Source organism: Homo sapiens, chromosome 1 (assembly GCF_000001405.40).
Source record: "Homo sapiens chromosome 1, GRCh38.p14 Primary Assembly".
Lineage (NCBI taxonomy): Eukaryota > Metazoa > Chordata > Mammalia > Primates > Hominidae > Homo > Homo sapiens.
Genome location: NC_000001.11, coordinates 226,440,722 through 226,461,096, shown reverse-complemented (window position 1 = coordinate 226,461,096; position 20,375 = coordinate 226,440,722). Strand labels below are relative to the sequence as shown.

At 45.1% G+C, this 20,375-nt stretch overlaps 1 pseudogene, besides 1 other annotated feature; it reads right to left on the bottom strand.

Annotated features, from left to right (window-relative positions):
- Window positions 5,833-6,040: a silencer, noted in NCBI's record as "fragment chr1:226642758-226642965 (GRCh37/hg19 assembly coordinates)". NCBI's record gives its function as "represses an EF-1alpha promoter that drives an FKBP-Casp9 reporter gene in an ReSE screen in K562 erythroleukemia cells {active_cell/tissue: K562}" and the evidence as "EXISTENCE:reporter gene assay evidence [ECO:0000049][PMID:32094911]".
- On the bottom strand, window positions 14,926-15,159 carry RN7SKP165 (RN7SK pseudogene 165; annotated as a pseudogene).

The following is a 20,375-nucleotide window of genomic DNA, read 5'->3' as shown; positions in this document are numbered from 1 at the left end:
ATTCACTGGGTCAATGGTAGTTGAGAGCCTCCTACGTGCCAGGCACTATGGAGATGCAATGGGGAGCAAACACATATGAAAATAGTTTAGCTTATGGTTGTGTAACATCAACATTACAATCCCAGAGCTGACCTCGTTTAACATGAAGTCTACATACCATTGATTTCCCAGGCTCCCATTCACCTCCCTCTCTGAAGTCCAATGATTCAGTAGATCAGCACCCCATCATCCCATAACTGTGGTAAGTGGAGCTCTCATATCCATCACAACCATATACAGAAATTGGTATGTTAATCAAAACAGTCGAAGAGTGAATTCACTAAAAATTATATATGTGTGTGTCATATATATATATCCATTAAACATTTTATTTTTTGCTGGGTGCAGTGGCTCACCCCTGTACTCCCAGCACTTTGGGAGGCCAAGGCAGGAGGATCATGTGAGGTCAGGAGTTCAAGACCAGCTGGCCAATATGGTGAAACCCAGTCTCTACTAAAAATACAAAAAGTAGCCGGGCATGGTGGCGTGTGCCTGTAATCCCAGCTACTCAAGAGGCTGAGGCAGGAGAATCGCTTGAACCCGGGAGGTTGAGGTTGCAGTGAGGTGAGATTTGCACCATGCACTCTAGCCTGGGTGACAGCAAGACTCTGTCTCAAAAAAAAATTATTTTTTGTGTAAATATTCCTGCAATCTTTCAGAGTGGAGTTAAAGGTATCTTCCTTGCTCATAGATCTGCGGCGTGGAGTTACGAGTCCTCTTTCTCATGGGTAGCAGACCTACTATTTATCCCTGAGGATTTCCAGTCTCTGCTTCTTTAAAGTAAAGGGAGATGGTGAAACCCAGGGCTAACCTGGTTGGGTCTGCAGAACTTAAAAACTTGCCTCCTTTGTTTTTAGTCACTTGCTTTTAGTTGATTTTAAAACCCATATAACTAAAAGTCATGTAGCTAAACAATATATATCTAAACCCCCACTAGCTTCCTTATAGATAACCTCTCTGACATATGTGTCGCCACAGTAATTAAGTTGTTTTTCAGAAACCTGGGGTCAGCTCTTGTCCAGTTCGAACCAGCTAAGACCACTGACCCTTCAGCTGGGCCTGTGTGAGTCGCCGGTGGGTGACCTTTTAACACCAGAAGACCAAAAACCCTCCCTCCGATCATGTTAATCATGCCATTTGTGAACACGCAACCTATGAAGAGCCACAAAGCCCACTAAGCTTGCGAAGATCACCGATTACCTCACTTTGCCTTACCCCCATCACCATTTCTGATGCCTCAGAGGGCCTAGGTGCTCCATCCCATAAATATCTCTAAAACCCCATCTTTGGAGAGGTGGATTTGAGACCTGTTCTCCCACCTCCTTGCTTGGACGCTGTATTAGTCAGGGTTCTCCAGAGGGACAGAGCTAACAGGATAGATGTATATATGAAGGGGAGTTTATCAAGGAGATTGACTCACACAATCACAAGTTGAATTCCCACAGCAAGCCATCTGCAAGCTGAGGAGCAAGAAAGCCAGCAGTGGCTCAGCCCAAGTTCCAAAGCCTCAAAAGTAGGGAAGGCTTCAGTCTATAGCCGAAGGCCCAAGAGCCCTTGGAAAACCACTGGTGTAAGTCCAAGAGTCCAAAGGTCAAAGAACCTGGAGTCTGATGTTCAAGGGCAGGAAGCATCCAGCACAGGAGAAAGATGAAGGCCAGGAGACTCAGCAAGCCAGCTCATCTCACCTTCTTCTTCCTGCTTTTTCTAGCTGGGCTGGCAGCCAATTAGATGGTGCCCATCCACGTTGAGGATGGGTCTTTTTCTGCCAGTCCACGAACTCAAATGTTAATCTCCTCTGGTAACACCCAGAAACACCCAGATACACCCAGAAACAATACTTTGCAACCTTCAATCCAATCAAGTTGACACTTAATATTAGCCATCACAGATGCCTTGTGAATAAACCCTTTCTCTGCTGCAAAACTCACAGTCTCAGTGATTGGCACACTGAGCAATGAGCAGAATAAGCCCTTTTCGCTATCAATGGTGAAGACACTTATGAGGCAATCCCAGTTCAGAAGCCTAGTTTTTTAGTATCTTTTCCCCAATCTTTTCGATTCTCTCATCCACATCTAATTTGTGTGTGTGTGATTTGACTTGCCTTTATTAAATCCTCTGAAAGCTTTTAGGTTAGTTTTCCAAGAAAATTTTTTGCACTCACGTTATACATATTAATTCAATTAAATTATGTAAGTGTAGTAACAAGTCCAACTGGCATAATCAGGTTTGGGAACAATGAATTCTTGGTAAGAAATAATTCATATCAACTATGGAAGCAAAAGCATGCCAGGTGCCCGTAGGCTGTGGGCAGTTATCTTTTACAGAGGGCCTGAGAGTGAAGGTCAGTTAGGTGACTGTGCTAAGCAGAGGTTGAGTAAAAGGGCCTCCACCAAACATTTGCCTTCAACATGTTAAACAAAAACTCCTATCAGCCAGCCATGGTGGCACCGCCTATAGTCCCAGCTGCTCTGGAGGCTGAGATGGGAAAATCACTTGAGCCCAGCAGTTTGAGGCTGCAGTGAGCTACGATTGTACCACTGCACTCCAGCCTGGAAGACAGAGCAAGACGCTGTCTCTAGAAGTAAATTTAAAAATTAAAAATTAAAAAACTCCCAAGAGGACATCAGTTTTTACCAAGCTCCTGCACTTTGCCCCAACAGACCAGACTAAAAATCAAAATAGAGTCACCTATGCTAAAGTTCCATGTCACCAAACCTAAACTAAGTTGTCATCTAACCTTTCAAGAAACGAGGCGAGAGAGAGAACAGCCAATTTCCCAAGCAGGCCAGTTTCAATCTTCAGTGGGCAAAACGAAGTTCCCTCTGCGCTAGTCCTTAACCTGCTATTAACCAGACAGTTCTTTCTCTATTGTTCTGTCTGGCTCTGCCCCTTACAAGGAAAATAACCTTTAAACAGCCAATCCACTTTTTGTTATCTGTTTCTGCTTCCTTCAGTCCTTCTTCTGTCCATAAAAACCAACCCCCTCTGTTCAACTCATTGGGGCATTTATTCTATTTTATGGATTCTACAATCGCAAATAAAGCCAGCTGAGATCTTTAAACTAACTTTGCTGTAATGTTGCCTTTTGACAAAAGCACACCTGAAGCAGTTGTTGGGCCCAGCCAGCAGCTGGTGAACCAGCACCTGGGACTGTTTATGTGGCTGAGGGTTGTTGACTGCAGAGGATAAGGTCAGGCGGCCAGAGCCATGGGGGGAAAGTGAGGCAGGCTCCATTCTACGGCTGCCACTCAAGCTTCTGGAAGCCCATTGGCAGCTCCTGAGATGATCAAAACCAAATGGCTGAGGGCTTTTTATCTTTGCAAATGTACCTTACCACGGAAGAAAAAGTCACTGACTCCCCGTTACTCAGCGAAAGAATATGCCCTGCTCAACTTCCTGTGTTAGACGGAGGGAAAAAAGAGCCCTCTTCCATGGCAGCCCTGGCAGCGCCCCCTACAGACCTTACATTAAAGCTCTTCTTGGTTAGTTACACCCACCGAGACCAGAGCTGTGGCTCCCTGCCCATCAGGCTGGGTGGCACGTGCAAAGAGCCTTCTACCAGAAGACCTGGACTGAACGGCCAGCCCCATCCCCTTTGAGCCAGGGGAACTGAGCTGGTCTCTTCGCTCTGCGAACTAGTTGTCTTGTTTACATGGGAGGAGTCATCCTTTACCCAGGGAGTCGTTGGGCGATCACGTGCATCTCAAACAGTAGTAAGCATCCGCCCTGGGCTGAGGTTAGCGGGGGTATCTTCCTGTCTCAAACTAAAGGATCAGCAGGAACCTCAGTTTTACTCCAAGGAAAACAATTTAGCACATTATTATTATATTTATGCCAACACAGGTTCAGCATGGAGTAGAACAAGAAATCCCCACAAGTATTTAAGACAACAGCAGACTTTAGAGAGATTTGAAACCTGCACACAAGCTGCACTGGGCGATACCACCTCAGAGAAAAATCACCATCCTCTGCCATCCTGTGCCTGGGCTACTAGGGACTGCTCCTGGGGAATGGCTGAGAAAAACAGAACTATGTTAAAACACTCTGTAGACTGTGGAGTGCTAGACAAATAGAGGAGATTATTTTTATTTATATTCGCATCAGTGTTAGCCTTGGGTTCCCAACTAGATGGGAAATTCTTGAGAACAGAAACAATGTCTTGGCGAGGTGTGGTGGCTCATGCCTGTAATCCCAGCATTTTGGGAGGCTGAGGCAGGACGTTTACTTGAGCCTAGGAGTTTGAGACTAGCCTGGACAACACAATGAGACCCCATCTCTTAAAAAAAAATTAATTAGCCGGTTGTGATGGTGTGCACCTGTGGTCCCATGAGCCCAGGAGGTCGAGGCTGCAGTGAGCTGCGAAGCCGTGATTATGCCACTGCACTCCAGCCTGGGTGACAGAGCAAGACCCTGTCTCAAAAAAAAAGAAAAAAAAAAAGAAAGAAAAGAAAAGAAACAATGTCCTTCTAATGTCCTTCTTGCGGCTTGCTTTCTCCGTTTTCTTCCTTCCCAGGCCTGCACTGAGCATACCACAGCTGCTCCATAAATACAGGGGTCCTGAGGACAATGAGGAGACCCTAAGTGTTAAGTCAAAGACATCTGGATTTGAATGAATCTCTCAACTGAAATTGATGCGGGAAATCCTCACAGAGGCCCCCTCCTCTAAGCCCCAGAGAGCCTGTAATTGCCAGCAGAATCTGCCATTCTCTGTGACAGTCCCTGAGGCTAGCAATGAGGTTTCCTGTGCTGCAGAAGGAATCTGAGGAGGTACCCAGAAAGTCTAGACAAGCCCTGGGAGATGGGGACAGAGGGCGAGAGAGAGGCTAAGTCAATCTGCAGAAAGAGAAGGAAAAGGTGACCTCCAAAGGTAGGCTTGGCTCTTGGGGTGGAGGCCGTGTGTGCGTGCACGCGCGTATGTGTAGTAGGGGGAGATCCACGGCCCTGCCTGGAGGGGCAGCTGTTGGAGGTGAGGAATGAGGGATGTGTCTCAGCAACAGGTCAGCAGAGGATACGTGTGGCCCTCTTACACTATCCATAGCAGGCGCACAGTTGGTATGTTCAACACCTCCATGAAGACACCGCAGCTGGCCGGGTGCAGTGGTTCACACATGTAATCCCAGCACTTTGGGAGGCCAAGGCAGGTGGATCACCTGAAGTCAGGAGTTGAAGACCAGCCTGGTCAACATGGTGAAACCCTGTGTCTACTAAAAATACAAAAATTGGTCGGGCATGGTGGCATGTGCCTGTAGTCCCAGCTACTTGGGAGACTGAGGCAGGAGAATCGCTTGAACCCGGAAGCAGAGGTTTCAGTGAGCCAAGATTGCACCACTAAACTCCAGCCTGGGCAACAGAATGAGACTCTGTCTAAAAAAATTAAATAAATAAATAAATATTTTAAAAAGAAGAATACAAAAGAGAAAAGAAAAAACGGGGAGTAAAAGGTGGCTGGGCCAGAGGAGGGTAGCAGTTTTGGGGTGAACGTGGAGTTCCAGAGAGTATCAGGGGACTGGAATTAGAGGGTGAAACGGGAGTGACTAGAGATACAGCTGGGAATTAGAAATTGGATCCTCCTAAACGTTCTTCAGAAGATTCAAGGCTGAAAATTACTCTTCAATTATTTACTCTGTTTCTGTAAGTGCATCTTCAGATGCGACCCAGCTCCAAGTCAGAACTGTGGGGGTCGAGGATTCTACAAGGTTGCCTTGGGTGAGTGGCTTTTATTTGTATTGATTAATTATATCTGCCACTTTGCAAAAAAGTGACTTGAGGTGAGGCAAGAACATTTAATCTCTCTGAATCTCATTTTCTTCCTCTGACAAATTGGGCTCCTGACACCAGGTGAGAGGTGTCCAGGTATCCTGGTAACCAGGTCTGAGGCTGTGGAAATTAAATAAGAACACGTGTGAAGCGCCAGCACAGTGCCTGGGACCCAGTAAACCTCCGGAACTGCTGGCCCTTCCCCAAAACAACTTGCCATTGTTCCCAGCACAAAGAAATGATAAAGGCTTGAGATGATGTATATGCTAATTACCCTGATTTGATCATTACACATTGTGTACATGTATCAAAATATCACACTGTACCTCATCAATATGTACAATTATTATGTATCAATTAAAATAATAATAAAAGAAAGAAAAAATTGGAAACAACCCAAATGTTCTTCAATTGCTGAATAGATCAACTGTGGGTTTAAAAAAATCCCAAAACTTGGTCATCTAGTGGAATCCTGTGACTGTTTAAAATGCAATAATAGGGTAGAGGTTCCCTGAAAGCAGAAGCCCTCTATAAGTACAAGTTGTTATTGCTGTCTTTATTATTATCTTAAAGTGCTTTGCAGCCATGGAAGTTGACAAAGGAAATGTAATAACAGCTTCTCCAAGAACTTCAAGTATTCTTATGCATTATCCAAATCTCTCTAACGTCTGGGGAAAAGGGTTGGAGAGGAAAGGGAGGGAGTTTTAGTCTTTATCCCTTAAAGATGCTGTCAAGGGAAGGAATGACTCACTATGTCTACTTCTACCTGAAACACTCAGGCTCATGATAGAAAGGCCAGGCTCATGATAGAAAGGCCAGCCCCAGTCTGGCTCAGAAGTGATGGGACTGCGGCTTCAGCCCACCTATTTGGACTCCTAAGTAAGAGTTTTTTGCACCATTCAGCACAGCCTAACAAGCAGGGCACAGAGCTGTATAGACCAGGCTGTAACCATAAATAGCCACACACACGTGTGCAGCACACACACACACACACACGAGCCTTATTGTCCATTTGGCCTGGGGCCTCCCCTGCCACGGCTGCTCTGCCAAATGGGGAACCAGAACAGAACACGAATGGGCCTTTATTAACCCAACAATGAAATTTTCCGAGAAAACATCCCAGCCCAGCCGATGGCCCAGTTGTAGCTGACCAGTGACAGGAGCCACTTGGGCAGACCACAGAGGTACCCACCACCCCTTAATCCCTGCCAGCCTCTGCTCCAGAGAAAATCTTGATCTCATTTAAGACTTTTCCCCAGGGTCAAAGATGTGTGTGAAATGAGGTCTCAAGTTCATTTGTACCTGATTTGCATATGACTAGCATATTTCTTCACAGGCTTTGAGACAGTCACTTCTATCTCTTCCCCACCCACCCTCAAATCCTGCCCCTCCTCCTGGGCCAGGAAAAGCCTGCTTTTGTCCCCATGTGCCTGACAGCCACTTTTGTGATCCCTGTGCATGAATCCTGGCCATCACCCAGCAAGTACAGCCTCATCTGAACCTGTCACTGTCTCCCAGTGCACTTGCCTCCCTAGCCACCTACTTTCAAAAATGAGAAAAAAAACAAAAAAACAAAAACCCTACCTGCTTTCAAAAATGCCCTTAAAGAATTCTTTGTTTTCTCCATCGATTTCTTCAACACCTTCTACTTGAACTTGCTCATTTGGCTTTCCCTTAGGAGCCTGACAGGGCCCAGAGTCAGGGCCTGGCCCAGGCCTGTCTCATCAGTATTCCAGTCGGGTGCTCCTGTGCCCACCGTCAGCAGTGAGTATGCAGGGGTGGACAGGTGGGCAGTCCTGCCCCGGCCCCTCACCCTCTCTTCCCCTGCAGCCCAAGGTCTTAGCGACATTGTCCTGGTGGGCCCTGCACAGCTAGCCTCACATGGTAACAGACACTCAGCCCCCAGAATAGATACATCATCTAACAAACCATGAGGCAGGAGCCTCACAACCCTTACCCTGAAGGATTTAAGGACATAAGAAGAAAGATATGTCTTGGCTTGTTAAGCTGCCAACACTCAGCCAGAGGCCCTGTGCTGGGCTGGAGCAGAGAACTCTAGGGAAGAATCTGCTCTTGTCAAATTACAAATTACATATCCCCCACCCTGGCCCAGGCCCTGCCTCCTGGGCCTCAAAGAGCCCCAGAAGTGCTGGCTGTAGATCCCCTAGAGAGGCTTCAGAGAGGATTACCAGGATTGTTCAAATGAGACGATGAAAGTGAGGCTGCTCTAAAAGAAAAGACACCCCGCACAGGCAAACTGATGGCATTAGGATTATTATGACTATTACGAAGGTAAAATGTTCTGCAAGCTTAAAATCTAACAAAGGAGAAGTAAAAATAGCCAATCCAACAAGCCCTGAAGTGTGCTATCCTCTTTTCTAAGTCCTAATACTATTAAAAACAGAAAAGGGGTTCTACAGTGCTAGAATCTATAAACCTCTTTCCTTCCACAGTATGCTGTCTGTAATTTGCTCTCGGTAAGAGAGTGTGAGCTAATAGGGTACAGTGCAGGGAAGTGCTGATAAAGCACCCAGGGAGACTCCCCCAAGTCAGCCCACCCTGGGCCACTGTCCTGAGAGCAGGTCTTGACCAAGTCCAGAAGGCTATTTTCTGCTATTCAGAAACTTCCTTCGGCAACAAAGAGCTTTCTGTAAAAGACTGCCCACTGGAAATGGGAGTTCTCCCTCTCTCTTTGTTGGGTGGTGGGTGATGAGGTTTAGATGGCTCAGCGATTCGGTTCAGCCATCACCACCACCTGACCGTGACCATGGCCCAGCTCCTCCCCTTCAGTGCCTCAGTGCCCTCAGATCTGAAATGATGGCCCCTTTACCCTGCTCTATGGCCTGGAGAGAAAGACAAATGGGACAGATAGCCTAAATGCCTCCATCTCTTCTGAGCAATATCTGAGAAGAGTAGTAAAAACTGTGAGGCTGGTGTTCCATGGTTCATGCCGGTAATCCCAGCACTTTGGGAGGACAAGGTGGGAGGATTGAGGCCAAGAGTTCAAGAACAGCCTGGCCAACGTAACAAGACCTCATCTCTACAAAATGTTTTTTAAATTAGTCAGGCACTGTAGCATTCCTATAGTCCCAGCTGCTTGAGAGGCTGAGGCAGGAGGACTGCTTGAGCCTGAGAGTTGGAGGCTGCGGTGAGTTATGATCACGCTACTACACTCCAGCCTGTGTGACACAGCAAGACCCTGTCTCTACAATAAAAACAAACAAACAAAAAAACTGTAGGAGGTACAGACCTTCATTATCCAGGTGTGTGGAAGCAGGTAGGGAAGTCAAGCTTTGCCCTCAGCCCCCAGGAACACTGAGGGAAATAAATGACCTTGAACTTGGCATTGCTGGGCGTCCTGTGCAGGGAACGTGTGGACTCTAGGGTAGTGCTGAGGGTGAACTAGCCAGCCCCTACCTAACAGCCTTTGTTCTCCCCAGGGAGTGCTGATGAAGTTCAAGAATCCTCCTCTTCACTCCCTCACTGGGCCAAGTGGATGTAGCATGGGGCCTCAACTGGGGGTTGTCAAATCAGAGGGGCCTGATACAGGTGAACCTTCAGGAGCCCTGGCTACAATCACTGGCTTTGATATAGTAATTAGTGGAGCCCAGCAAGAGGCAGGCTTTTCAAATGACTGTACTTATATTTGTTATAGGATTGTTCAACATAAAGATTTCCAGTATAAAATTATCTAAATGAACTCTTTATTTAAAATGCACACACATTCCTTTGAGGAATAAAAGTGAAAGGTCACTCAGAACCTTAACTTCCAGGGGGGTGTCTGCAAGGGTTCCTTTTGGTCACTTGTAACACAGCTGTTCTCCCTACCCCACAGCTGTGTAGGCTAACCTGTGCATTGGACCCGGTATGAAGACTTTCTTCAGAGAATGTCCAGAACCTTCAGGTGTTAGTTTAGCTAATTTAGCAGAGGATGGCATGCATCTTGCAGTGAGAGCAAGTGCCACCAAGCTATGAGAGTTGCACATTCTTATACGCTATGGTGGGATTCCCTCTCTGAGATTGGTGTCTGTAGGGGTCCTGCTGTTCGCACCCTTGCTATCATGGGTTGTATGTGAAAGTTAATTACAATGATCCTAGATTTGATCATTGTGCTTGCTGCCTCTGTCACCCCCACACATCTGGTGGTGGGTTTTGCAGACATGCAAATTAGGCCACCCTAATATATTGATGTAGCTGAGATACCCTTCCTTAGGATGCAGACAGCTCTCATGGGTTGGTATTGTCAACTGAAGAATGTTGAGGTTCATACAATTAGAAAGGAGAGCCTTATTTCTCATAAAGGGCTGTAGCCTGCAGGGTAGTCATTCTGACAGATTGGGAAGCATAGCCTCCAGTCAGAAGCCAGAAACAGATACTCCAAGGGAGGGGCAGAGGGGTCAGGAATTTATGCTGAGCAGGGTGGCTGATTATACATATTCAGTAAGCTAGAGGAGGAGTCATGAATATTTATGGAAGGAAAAACGTGCTCATGCACAACTGAGCTTCATACCCTTTCGTAGGACCCATGTACAAAAAAATGGCTGTGTTAGAATGATCTGGGGGTGGAGTTTTCTACCCTCTGACATCAAAAGGTGAAGCAGAGGACATGAAGACCCTCACTGAGCATTCTCCGTAGACTGGCCAAGACCACTCTGTGGTTGGTGGTCTCTTATCAGGCAAAAAAAGAGGGGCAGCATCAGGTGGTTGGTTGATATCAGTGTGGAATCTTTTGAAAGGGCTGGTTTCTGTTCAGCCCTCGGAAGAAAGCCTAATGGTGATTAACAAGGGAGGGAGTATAACAAGGTGTTGAGTCCCCCATTCCATCATGGCTGAGAACTCAGTTTTCAAGGTTACTCTGGGGTTCCTTGGCCAAGAGGAGGTCCCTTCAGTCAGTTGAGGGGCTTAGGATTTTATTTCTCAACGTTGTGTCATAGTTCTTATTTTTCCTCTACACAAACATACTTTAATGTCCCTTAGAACACAACCAAACCTCTAAGAGCAATGCCATGTCTCTCAGTGCTTTTCAAACTCCCCCTTCTCAACAAGCCCCTTCACGAGTGGGGAATAAACCAGACCCTAATCGCATAGTCCCCCAGCCAAAGACAGAGCTTGTAAACATGTGGAGTACAGGGACCATGTCTGGCTTCCTACATCACTAGCATGAGATCTTCCGCAGGCAACTGCACAGGGACTCAAATGATCTGGATGATAACGGCAGAACGTGTCCTCTAGCACAATCCTATATGGTCTGGGTAGGGCTGACCCAGAATGGGCCAATCGTTGTACCTCATGCTCCTGCTATAGTGATTGGTTTAGAAAAAGACATGTGACCTAATTATAGCCAATCATAGGCTTCTCTGGAATTAATTTATAAACATTGGGTAAGACTAAGACTTGTTTTTTTTCAACTGGAGTTGTCAAGCCAGGAGAATGTGAGTCCAGGTGGCAGCCATAGCACCTGCATACAAGCAGGGGTGGGATAGACCAGATGGAAAGAGGGAGAGGACACCTTGAGAACCTTATCGGAGCAACTGAATCTAGCTGTGCCTAAAGTAACAACAGACCTGTTAAATAAGCAAATAGGAATTCTATTTCTAAAGGAATTAGTGTGGTTTTCCTGTCAAACCCAGAAGTTCTGATAATATGATGTTTGTATATTCATGCTATTTCCATATGTTCTCATGTTCACACAGGCAATGATTAATAAATGCTCATTTACTTACTAAGCAAAGGTGGTATACAGTAGCTCACATTTTCCTATACCCACAGTTGCCCTCACAAGGCAGCTAAGCTAATTCGAATGGGTCCAGGCCATAGGACAGAGTTCCAAGGACTGTAGTTTACACCAGCTTCCACACCACCTCCCCACTTTGCAACATGTCCCTAGAAAATGTCCAAATGTCTCTCGCACAGTCTTCTTACCTGTTAATTTATTAATTGTCACCTTGGCCAACCAGGTTTGTATAGATTAAAAAAAGGAAACAGGCCCAGTGCTGTGGCTCATGCCAACATTTTGAGAAACAAGGCAGGGGAATTGCTTGAGCCCAGGAGTTTGAAACCAGCCTAGGCAACATGGTGAAACCTTGTCTCTACAAAAAACACAAAAATTAGCTGGGTGTGGTGGCGCACGCTTATAGTCCCAGCTACTTGGGAGGCTGAGGTGAGAGGATCGCTTGAGCCCAGGAGGTTGAGGCTGCAGTGAGCAGAGATCACTGCACTCCAGCCTGGGCGACAGAGCAAGACCCTGTCCCCCCCCAAAAAAAAAGAAAAAAGAAAAGAAAAAGCGGAAACGGTTTTTAGAATGAGTCCACCCAGCTTGTTGTCACTCTGTTACAGTCACCAAGAACCTAATGCCAACAGTCACAATCATGATAATAGCATGCATTTATACTTCTTTAGATATGCTAAGGCATGTTACTTCCTCCTCTAGTTCTTTAGTTCAGGAGATTAACATGTCCTCAATTCACCAGGGGCGATCAGGCCACAAACTGATTAAACCAAAATTCCAAAGAAATTGCTTAAGGAGCAAAAAGGACTAGTTATTAATTTAGAATGAGAAATATGACATTTACTATCTAATTGACAAGAGGGTTAGAGAATTTACTTTGGCCAGTCTGAATATTGTCTTCACAGTAAGAAAATCTATTGTAGAAATTTAATTAAGAAGACCATTGGGTAAATATGAAACAAGATGAATGAACTTGGATAGTCATGTTGCTTATTTTTATCAAGCTGGAAAAATGAGATGAATCATGCTTGTCTAGTGGTCAGATAGTCATTTATGCAGGTCAGAGCACCCTCTCCAACAGGGCTACAGACTTCTTAAGAAATTCTTGCATATTCACACAATAGGTCCCTTCTCTACCTCCTTCTCTGTGTATTCAAGTTGTGGCCATCATTCAAGGCTGATTTTAACAAAAGATGCAGAAGAGGGTGTCAACCTGAAATAATCAAAAGGATCAGAATCTTTTTTTTTCTTTTTTTTTTCATTCTGTCACCCATGCTGGAGTGCAGTGGTGAAATCATAGCTGCCTGCAGCCTTGACCTCCTGGGCTTGGCCTCCCAAATAGCTAGGATTACAGGCGTGCATCACCGCATCTGGCTGATTTTCAAATTTTTTTAGGGACAGGATCTCACTGTGTTGCCCTGGCTGGTCATGAACTCCTGGCCTCAAATCATCCTCCCAACTCAGCCTTCGAAAATGTTGGGAATACAGGCATGAGGCACCCCACCTGGCCTTAGACTCCAATTTTAAAGGGTTTATTCAAGGGAAAAACTGGAAATGGCTCTTCAGGAGACACAGACGCCAGAGAAATAGGGTCACTGTTCCAAATTTAAAAGTTACATGGTTGCTTGTATAGGCAGAAAACAAAGAAATTTAACAGGATTACATTTTCTATTCAAGGTTGGTTTATGAATTACAACAAATTAATTAGTTTCAGTGTGTTTTCTTTTCCCTACATCTTGTTTTCATTTCTTTTCCAATTTAAAAGGGTATGTCTAACAGGTGGCTCATACCTGTAATCCCAGCACTTTGGGAGGCCGAGGTAGGCAGATCACTTGAGGTCAGGAGTTTGAGACCAGCCTGGCCAACATGGTGAAACCCCATCTCTACCCAAAATACAAAAAATCAGCCAGGCATGGCGGCAGGCGCCTGTAATCCCAGCTACTGGGGAGGTTGAGGCAGGAGAATTGCTTGAACCTGGGACACGGAGGTTGCAGTGAGCCAAGATTGCACCACTGCACTCCAGCCTAGATGGCAGATCGAGACTTTGTCTCAAAAAAAAAAAAAAGAAAAGAAAAGCAAGGTAATATGGAAGTGAATCTATAATGAAGATCAATAGTGAAGAGGAAAGGAGATCTTCCCTGGTGCTTTTTAGTCATTCAGTACATTTTACAAAATAATGCAGCTAAGGAAGCCGGCTCATCTATAAACAGAGAAACAAAGGTTACAGCTGCTTGTCACATGACTCAGGCTCCATAATTACATTCCTTTTTTTTTCTGAGACCGAGTTTCCCTCTGTCGCCCATACTGGAGTGTGGTGGGTCAATCTTGCTCACTGCAACCTCCGCCTCCTGGGTTCAAGCAATTCGTGCCTCAGCCTCCCGAGTAGCTGGGATTACAGCCGTGTGCCACCACGCTTAGCTAATTTTTTGAATTTTTAGTAGAGATGGGGCTTCGCTATGTTGGCTGGGCTAGTCTCGAACTCCTGTCATCAAGTGATCTCCCTGCCTCGGCCTCCCAAAGTGCTGGAATCACAGCCACCGTGTCCAGCCAGATTTCTTTAAGGCTCAAAATAATTTAGAGTTCCAACAGCTTAGATTTTGAACTACTTATTTTCGCAAGGGCAACCAAGAATGAGAAGGATCTGGAGCCCATCTCTGGTGGACATTGCTGGTCGCCTACCCAACACCCATTTTGCATTCCCCACTCCTGACAGAACTCCAGTTTAGTTCAGCTATCATGCTCATACAAGCCAATGAGGTGCATGGCTCTTAGGAAGTTAGCCTCAATTTTATCAACTGAAAAAAATCCTGAGATTTATACATTTAGAAAAGGAGCCTTTATTTCTTATAATAGGGGTCACAACCTGTAGACTGGCCATCCCACAGGCTGGGAACTGTAGCCTCCAGCAGACCCTGAAAGTAGGCACTTCAAGAGGGGAGGGTGAAATAGGGATTTATGTTGAATGGGTTGGCCAAGTATATATATTCAACAGATGATAGGAGGAGCTATGAATATTCATGAAGGTGGTTCATGAACACCTGCATACTGAATAAAAATGCATGTTACATATGACCCATGTTCATTTAGAGGCAGAGACTTAACACGTAAATGTATTACAGTTGGGCCCTATATATCAAAAGGTGAAGCAGAGATATGGGGGCACTCAAGTGCACAAGCTCTGTAAACCAGCTAGAACCAGCTCATGGTCAGTGGTCTCTTATCAAGAGAAAGTCACAGCCATCAGTTTCTTGTCCAGTCAAAGCTGTAGTTGTGGCTGGAGGAAGAGGGTCAGTCAGCATCTGGCGGGGAGCTATGATTATTTTCATCTTGCTTATCTTGAGGCCATTGCTTGTTCAGCTGCTAGAAAAAAAGAAAAACCTTATGACAGAACATAGCTTATTCTTGAGAGCTTGTTTGGAGGTTCTAGCAGGGGAGCATGGCTACTCATACATCCTTGACCAAAGCTGGGTCCTCCTCCATCGGGGATGGTCATCCTCTTTGAGTGCGCAGCTTTGGGAGGGACGTACTTGGAGAGAGAGGGAGGAAGGGGATACCCACCTAGCCAGCCGGATCAGCCGAATCAACCCTGATGATCCATGGGGTGACAGGTGTCGCAGCCAGATCACCCTCACATCTGAGAACATAGTTTATTCTTTAATAAACTGTGCACGCTTAACCCTTACCTGGCATGGCCTTAGGTCCTATGTATAATTTGGTATCTTATTGCCAAAAAGAGCCTCTTCTGTCTGTCTTGTAATCTCTATTTTATCATTAATGCTGGTCAGTTGTTGCGTCTAAACCGCAAAAGGGAGGGGGTGTAATGAGGCTTGTCTGACCTCCTGTCCTGTCACAGCTGGGCACTGTTTTTAAGGTTTATCTGGGATCCCCTTGGCCAAAATGGGGTCTGTTCATTTGGTTGAGGGCCTTAGGATTTTATTTTCTACTTGCACTTTTTTCCTGTGAACATTCTCCTTCTCACTGAGGCTGAACTGGGGCTGCCATCTTGCACCAGCCCTGAAGATGAAGTGTGTGCCCAGAGGAGGCTGGGGGAGAGGCTGACAGAGAAAGAGATCCAGAGGCCTGTGTGGTGTCCATCCTGTCGTCCACCTCCCCTCAGGACTTGAGTATGCAGGTGAAGGAAATCAAAATATTAATACTTTACCCCAAAACAGATTTCTTTGACATATTCTGAAGTGGCCTGTAAGGTTGTCTTTTGCGGGAGAAATTTGCACCTGTAGATCTGTAGAGACTCTGCATTAATGCAGCCAGCCCTTCCCTTGTCTGGAAAGATTAACTGAGATTCTGACACCTGCAGGTCTGAAAAGAAGCATCCGCCATCTGCTCTTTCTGAGGGTTGCTCCCCGTGAGGTTTCATCTACACAACAGGACTGCCTTTGCTAGCCAAGCCACTTCCTTTCTTCCTCCCACAACCTGTGTTGCCACTGAAACCTGTCTGGGGCCATGCTCTGAGCCCACATTCTCTCTGCAACCTCAAGGTGGTGCATAAGCTTCTGCACCCCACTAGGGGATTGGGTCTTCATTCTGAAGCTTCCTGTGTATACATGTTAAACAAATTCATATGTCTTCTCTCCTATTAGTCAATCTGCCTCATGTCAGTGATTTAGGGGGCCAAGCACCTTGACTGCCTCACAGGACAATAGCTGTCTTTATCGTTTAAGTGAGCAGAGCTGTATTTTTCATTGCTTGCAGCCACGGGCAACCTAACTGAAGCACTACCTCATTTGAGGAACATTTGAAGAGACAGGCATGTTGGTTTGGTATCCTAAGACGGAACACAACAAGCTTATCTTCTTTAATAAAGTTATTTGACTAGACTCTGAACCAAAATAGGTGGAACAAGGTCCCTCAAAACCAAATAAATCTCTAGTTAGCTAACTCACTTCAGTCCTTCCCATCCATAAAGCCTCTCCAACCACAAGAGAAAGGAGAAAGAGAGAAAAGGTGAGCTAATAAGACTGGTGCTTTGAATGTGGCTTTTGGTGTGAGTTTAAAAAAAAAAGAAAAGAAAAAGGTAATAAAATAAGACTGGTGCTGGGAAGAGCTTAAGAGTTTTGCACAGAATGGCTTGGCCATTGGGATTAGATTGTCCCTCCAGTAAATGTGCTGGTGAGACGGGGACAGGCATTGGGTTGAAGAGAGGGGGCAAGAATTACATTCTTCTAAAAAACTGGCCAAAGCCAGCTCCAGAGGCACCCAGAACCTCATCTCTCCCTCCCTCCTGGATTCCTGCCTCATCTTTCCCAGATAAGACTCTTTAACTTTCTCTGAAGAACAAAGTCATAAGGTGCGAATATTCCCTGAAATACCTTTGAAATACTTGCATAAATAAAACAGAGGAGGCCTGGACAGTGGCTCACAACTGTAATCCCAGCACATTTGGGAGGCCAAGGCGGGAGGATCTCTTGAGCCCAGGAGGTCGAGTCTGTAATGAGCTGTGATTGAGCCACTGCGCTCCAGCCTGGGTGACAGAGGAAGACCCTATCTCAAAAAAAATTAAAAAAATAAAACGGGGAAAGACAGGGAAAAGCAAAGCTGACTCAACAGTGTGTGTAAGCCAATTATAGAAAGAAACTTTGATCTCATTTCTTAAATGCATTGAATGAAACACTTTCCGTGACATTCGGCCAGATGTCTTCTGCTAAAGAAGCAGAAAGGCTGGAGAAGAGAAGACACAGACAGAGAACACATGGAAAGGAAGGCAACTTGCTGTGTGACCCCAGGGCAGAACTAACACCTAGAAAACCTCCCAAGTTTTCCTCTCCTTGCCTTTGTCCCCCAGATCGCCACCCAGAACTCTGACTGGGAAAAGCGGTTTCTTTGTGATTGATGCTCAGCAGGCAAAGTCATTGACTCACATAGTGATACATAGGTAATAAAAATAGATTCCAGAGCAAGTCTGATGCCAGCTCCCAGCCTATGACTTCCTGGCATCAAAAGAAAGAAATTTAGTTGAGCAAGGAGGTTCTTAGAGTGAGAGAGTGACTGAGTGCAGTGACTCATGCCTGTAATCCCAACACTTTGGGAAGTCGAGGTCAGGAGTTTGAGACCATCCTGGGCAGCATAATGAGACACCCTTCTCTACAAAAAAAAAAAAAAAAAAAAATTAAAAATAAAGAGTAAGTGAGAAAGTAAGTGTGTTTATTCTTCAGTTGGGAGAGGCATTTTACCAAAGATGAGGGCAGTGGGTAAAGTAGATTCTGTGGCCCTGGGAATAGCCTCGGACTAATGTGGACTCCCACATTAGCCGAGCAAAAGCAACAACCTCTCATCCGTTCCACCCTCCCCTGCCAGATTGTGAGCTCTCAGGGCCCCTCAGAGCTCCTGGGTCAAACCCAGTCAATGGCTGCGTCAGCATTTTCAGGCTACCAGAACTCAGCCTCGCCAGACCGGAGAAAGTACAATGTTGGTTTGGGGCCAGGCATGCTAGCTCATGCCTGTAATCTCAGCACTTTGGGAGGCTGAGACAGGATGGATCACCTAAGCCCAGAAGTATGAGACCAGCCTGGGCAACTTAGTAGGACCCCATCTCTAAAACAAACAAACACACAAACAAAAAAAAACACACAAAACTTTGGTTTTGGTGTTTGTTCTCGTTTTATAATTTTTATTTATTTCTAAATTTATTTTATCTTATTTTTTAATTGACATACAATAATTGTACTTATTTATGAGGTACATAGTATGTTCTTATTTTTTTAAAAAAACTATCCTTTCTCCCCTTTATTTTACCATTTAAAAATTAATTATTTATTGTTTTAATTTAAAAGTATACAGATTCAATTATTTTTCTAAATTCAAGCAAAGAAAATTGGGGGAAAAAGTCAATCCTACCACCTGCTAACACGAGGAATGACTATAACAAGAATCAGGTAAAGCCTTAAAACGCCTTGAAACGACTGAGGAACGCAAAGGCAGGCTGGAACAAAGGGAATAAATATACCATGTTTTTGGAGAGGAAGACTCAACATACTAAAAGCTTCAGTTCTCCATAATTTAATTTATAAAGGTGATGCAGTCTGTTAAAAACACCATTTTTTTAACCAGACAAACTGTTTATAAAGTTTATGAAAAAATGAATAAGAATACCTAAGAAAATACTGATAAAGAAGATGAGGAACGAGGCCTACCAGATACTAAAACATATTCCAAAATTTCAATAATTAAAACAGCTTGGGGTCTGGCACAGTGGCTCACGCCTGTAATCCCAGCACTTTGGGAGGCCAAGACAGGTGGATCACTTGAGGTCAGGAGTTCAAGACCAGCCTGGCCAACACAGTGAAACCCCATCTCTACCCAAAATACAAAAATTAGCCGGGTGTGGTGGCAGAAACCTGTAGTCCCAGCTACTCAGGAGGCTGAGGCAGGAGAATTGCTTGAATCCAGGAGGTGGAGGTTGCAGTGTGCCGAGATCATGCCACTGCACTCCAGCCTGGGCAACAGAGCAAGACTCCATTTCAATAAATAAATAAATAAATAAAACAGCTTGAAGAGAAAGACCAATGGAATAGAAAAGAAAATTTTAAATAGAAAATTAAAAAATAGAAATGTTGTGTATAACAAAAGAGACCTTTCAAATCAATGGAGAAGAGGAACTTGTCAGTAAATGGAACTGGGAAACACGCCCATACCTGAAGGGCAGAGCAGTAGCAGCCTCAGGACAAGCTCGGACCAATGGTAGAAAAGAGATAGAAGGAAACAATGGATAACGCCCCTCCTTTCCTCCCCCTGTGGCCAAAGAACTGTTTGGAAGCATCCTGCTGTTTCTTGTGAAGCCTGGCCAGCCACCTTGCATGTGCCTTCCTGCCTCGCCTTCTCCATCCCCTTTTACTCTCTCTTGCTTCACTGTAATTTCATCTCTCTATTGCTTTGCTTTAAGATCTGTTCTCCGGCTGGGCGTGGTGGCTCACACATGCAATCTCAGCACTTTGGGAGGTCGAGGTGGGTGGATCACCTGAGCTCAGGAGTTAGAGACCAGCCTGGCCAACATGTGAAACCCCATCTCTACCAAAAATACAAAAAACTAGCCTGGCGTGGTGTCATGCACCTGTAATCCCAGCTACTCAGGAGGCTGAGGCAGGAGAATCGCTTGAACCCGGGAGGCGGAGGTTGCAGTGAGCTGAGATCACACCACTGCCCTCCAGCCTAGGCCACAGAACAAGACTCCATTTCAAAAAAAAAACAAACAAAAAAACAAAAAAAAAAGATCTGTTTTCTAGGTAATCTGGGCTAAGACATGAGAGAAGACATGATAGAATAAAGCATGATAGAATCTCTTTGAATCCTGGAATAAGGAAGACCCATGACTCAGAAATTCAGGAGCCACAGAAGATTGATAAGTTCAAATACATAAAAATTAAAACCTCTGCATGGCAAAGAGCATCAATAAGCTAAGTCAAAAGTGAACAAGCAACTGGGGAAAATAATTGCAATTCCTATCTCAGACAAAGGGTTAACCTTTCTAATGTATAAAGACTTTCTAGAAATCAGTAAGACAAAGACTAACAACTCAATAGAAATAGAGGCAAAGGATATGAATAGACAGTTCACAGGAAGGAAAATACAAACGGCTCTTAGGCATGTGAAAAGATGCTCAATGTCATACATCACAAAAGAAGGCAAATTAAAACTTCACTGAGAGTTATATAAGGAACTCCAATAACCCAGTATTAAAAAGACAAATAACTCAATACAAAATGGGGAAGAGATTTGACAAGACACTCCGCAAAAGATTAAGAAGAGAGCTGGGTGCAGTGGCTCACGTCTGTAACCCCAGCACTTCGGGAGGTTAAGATGGGAGAATCACTTGAGGCCAAGAGTCCGAGACCAGCCT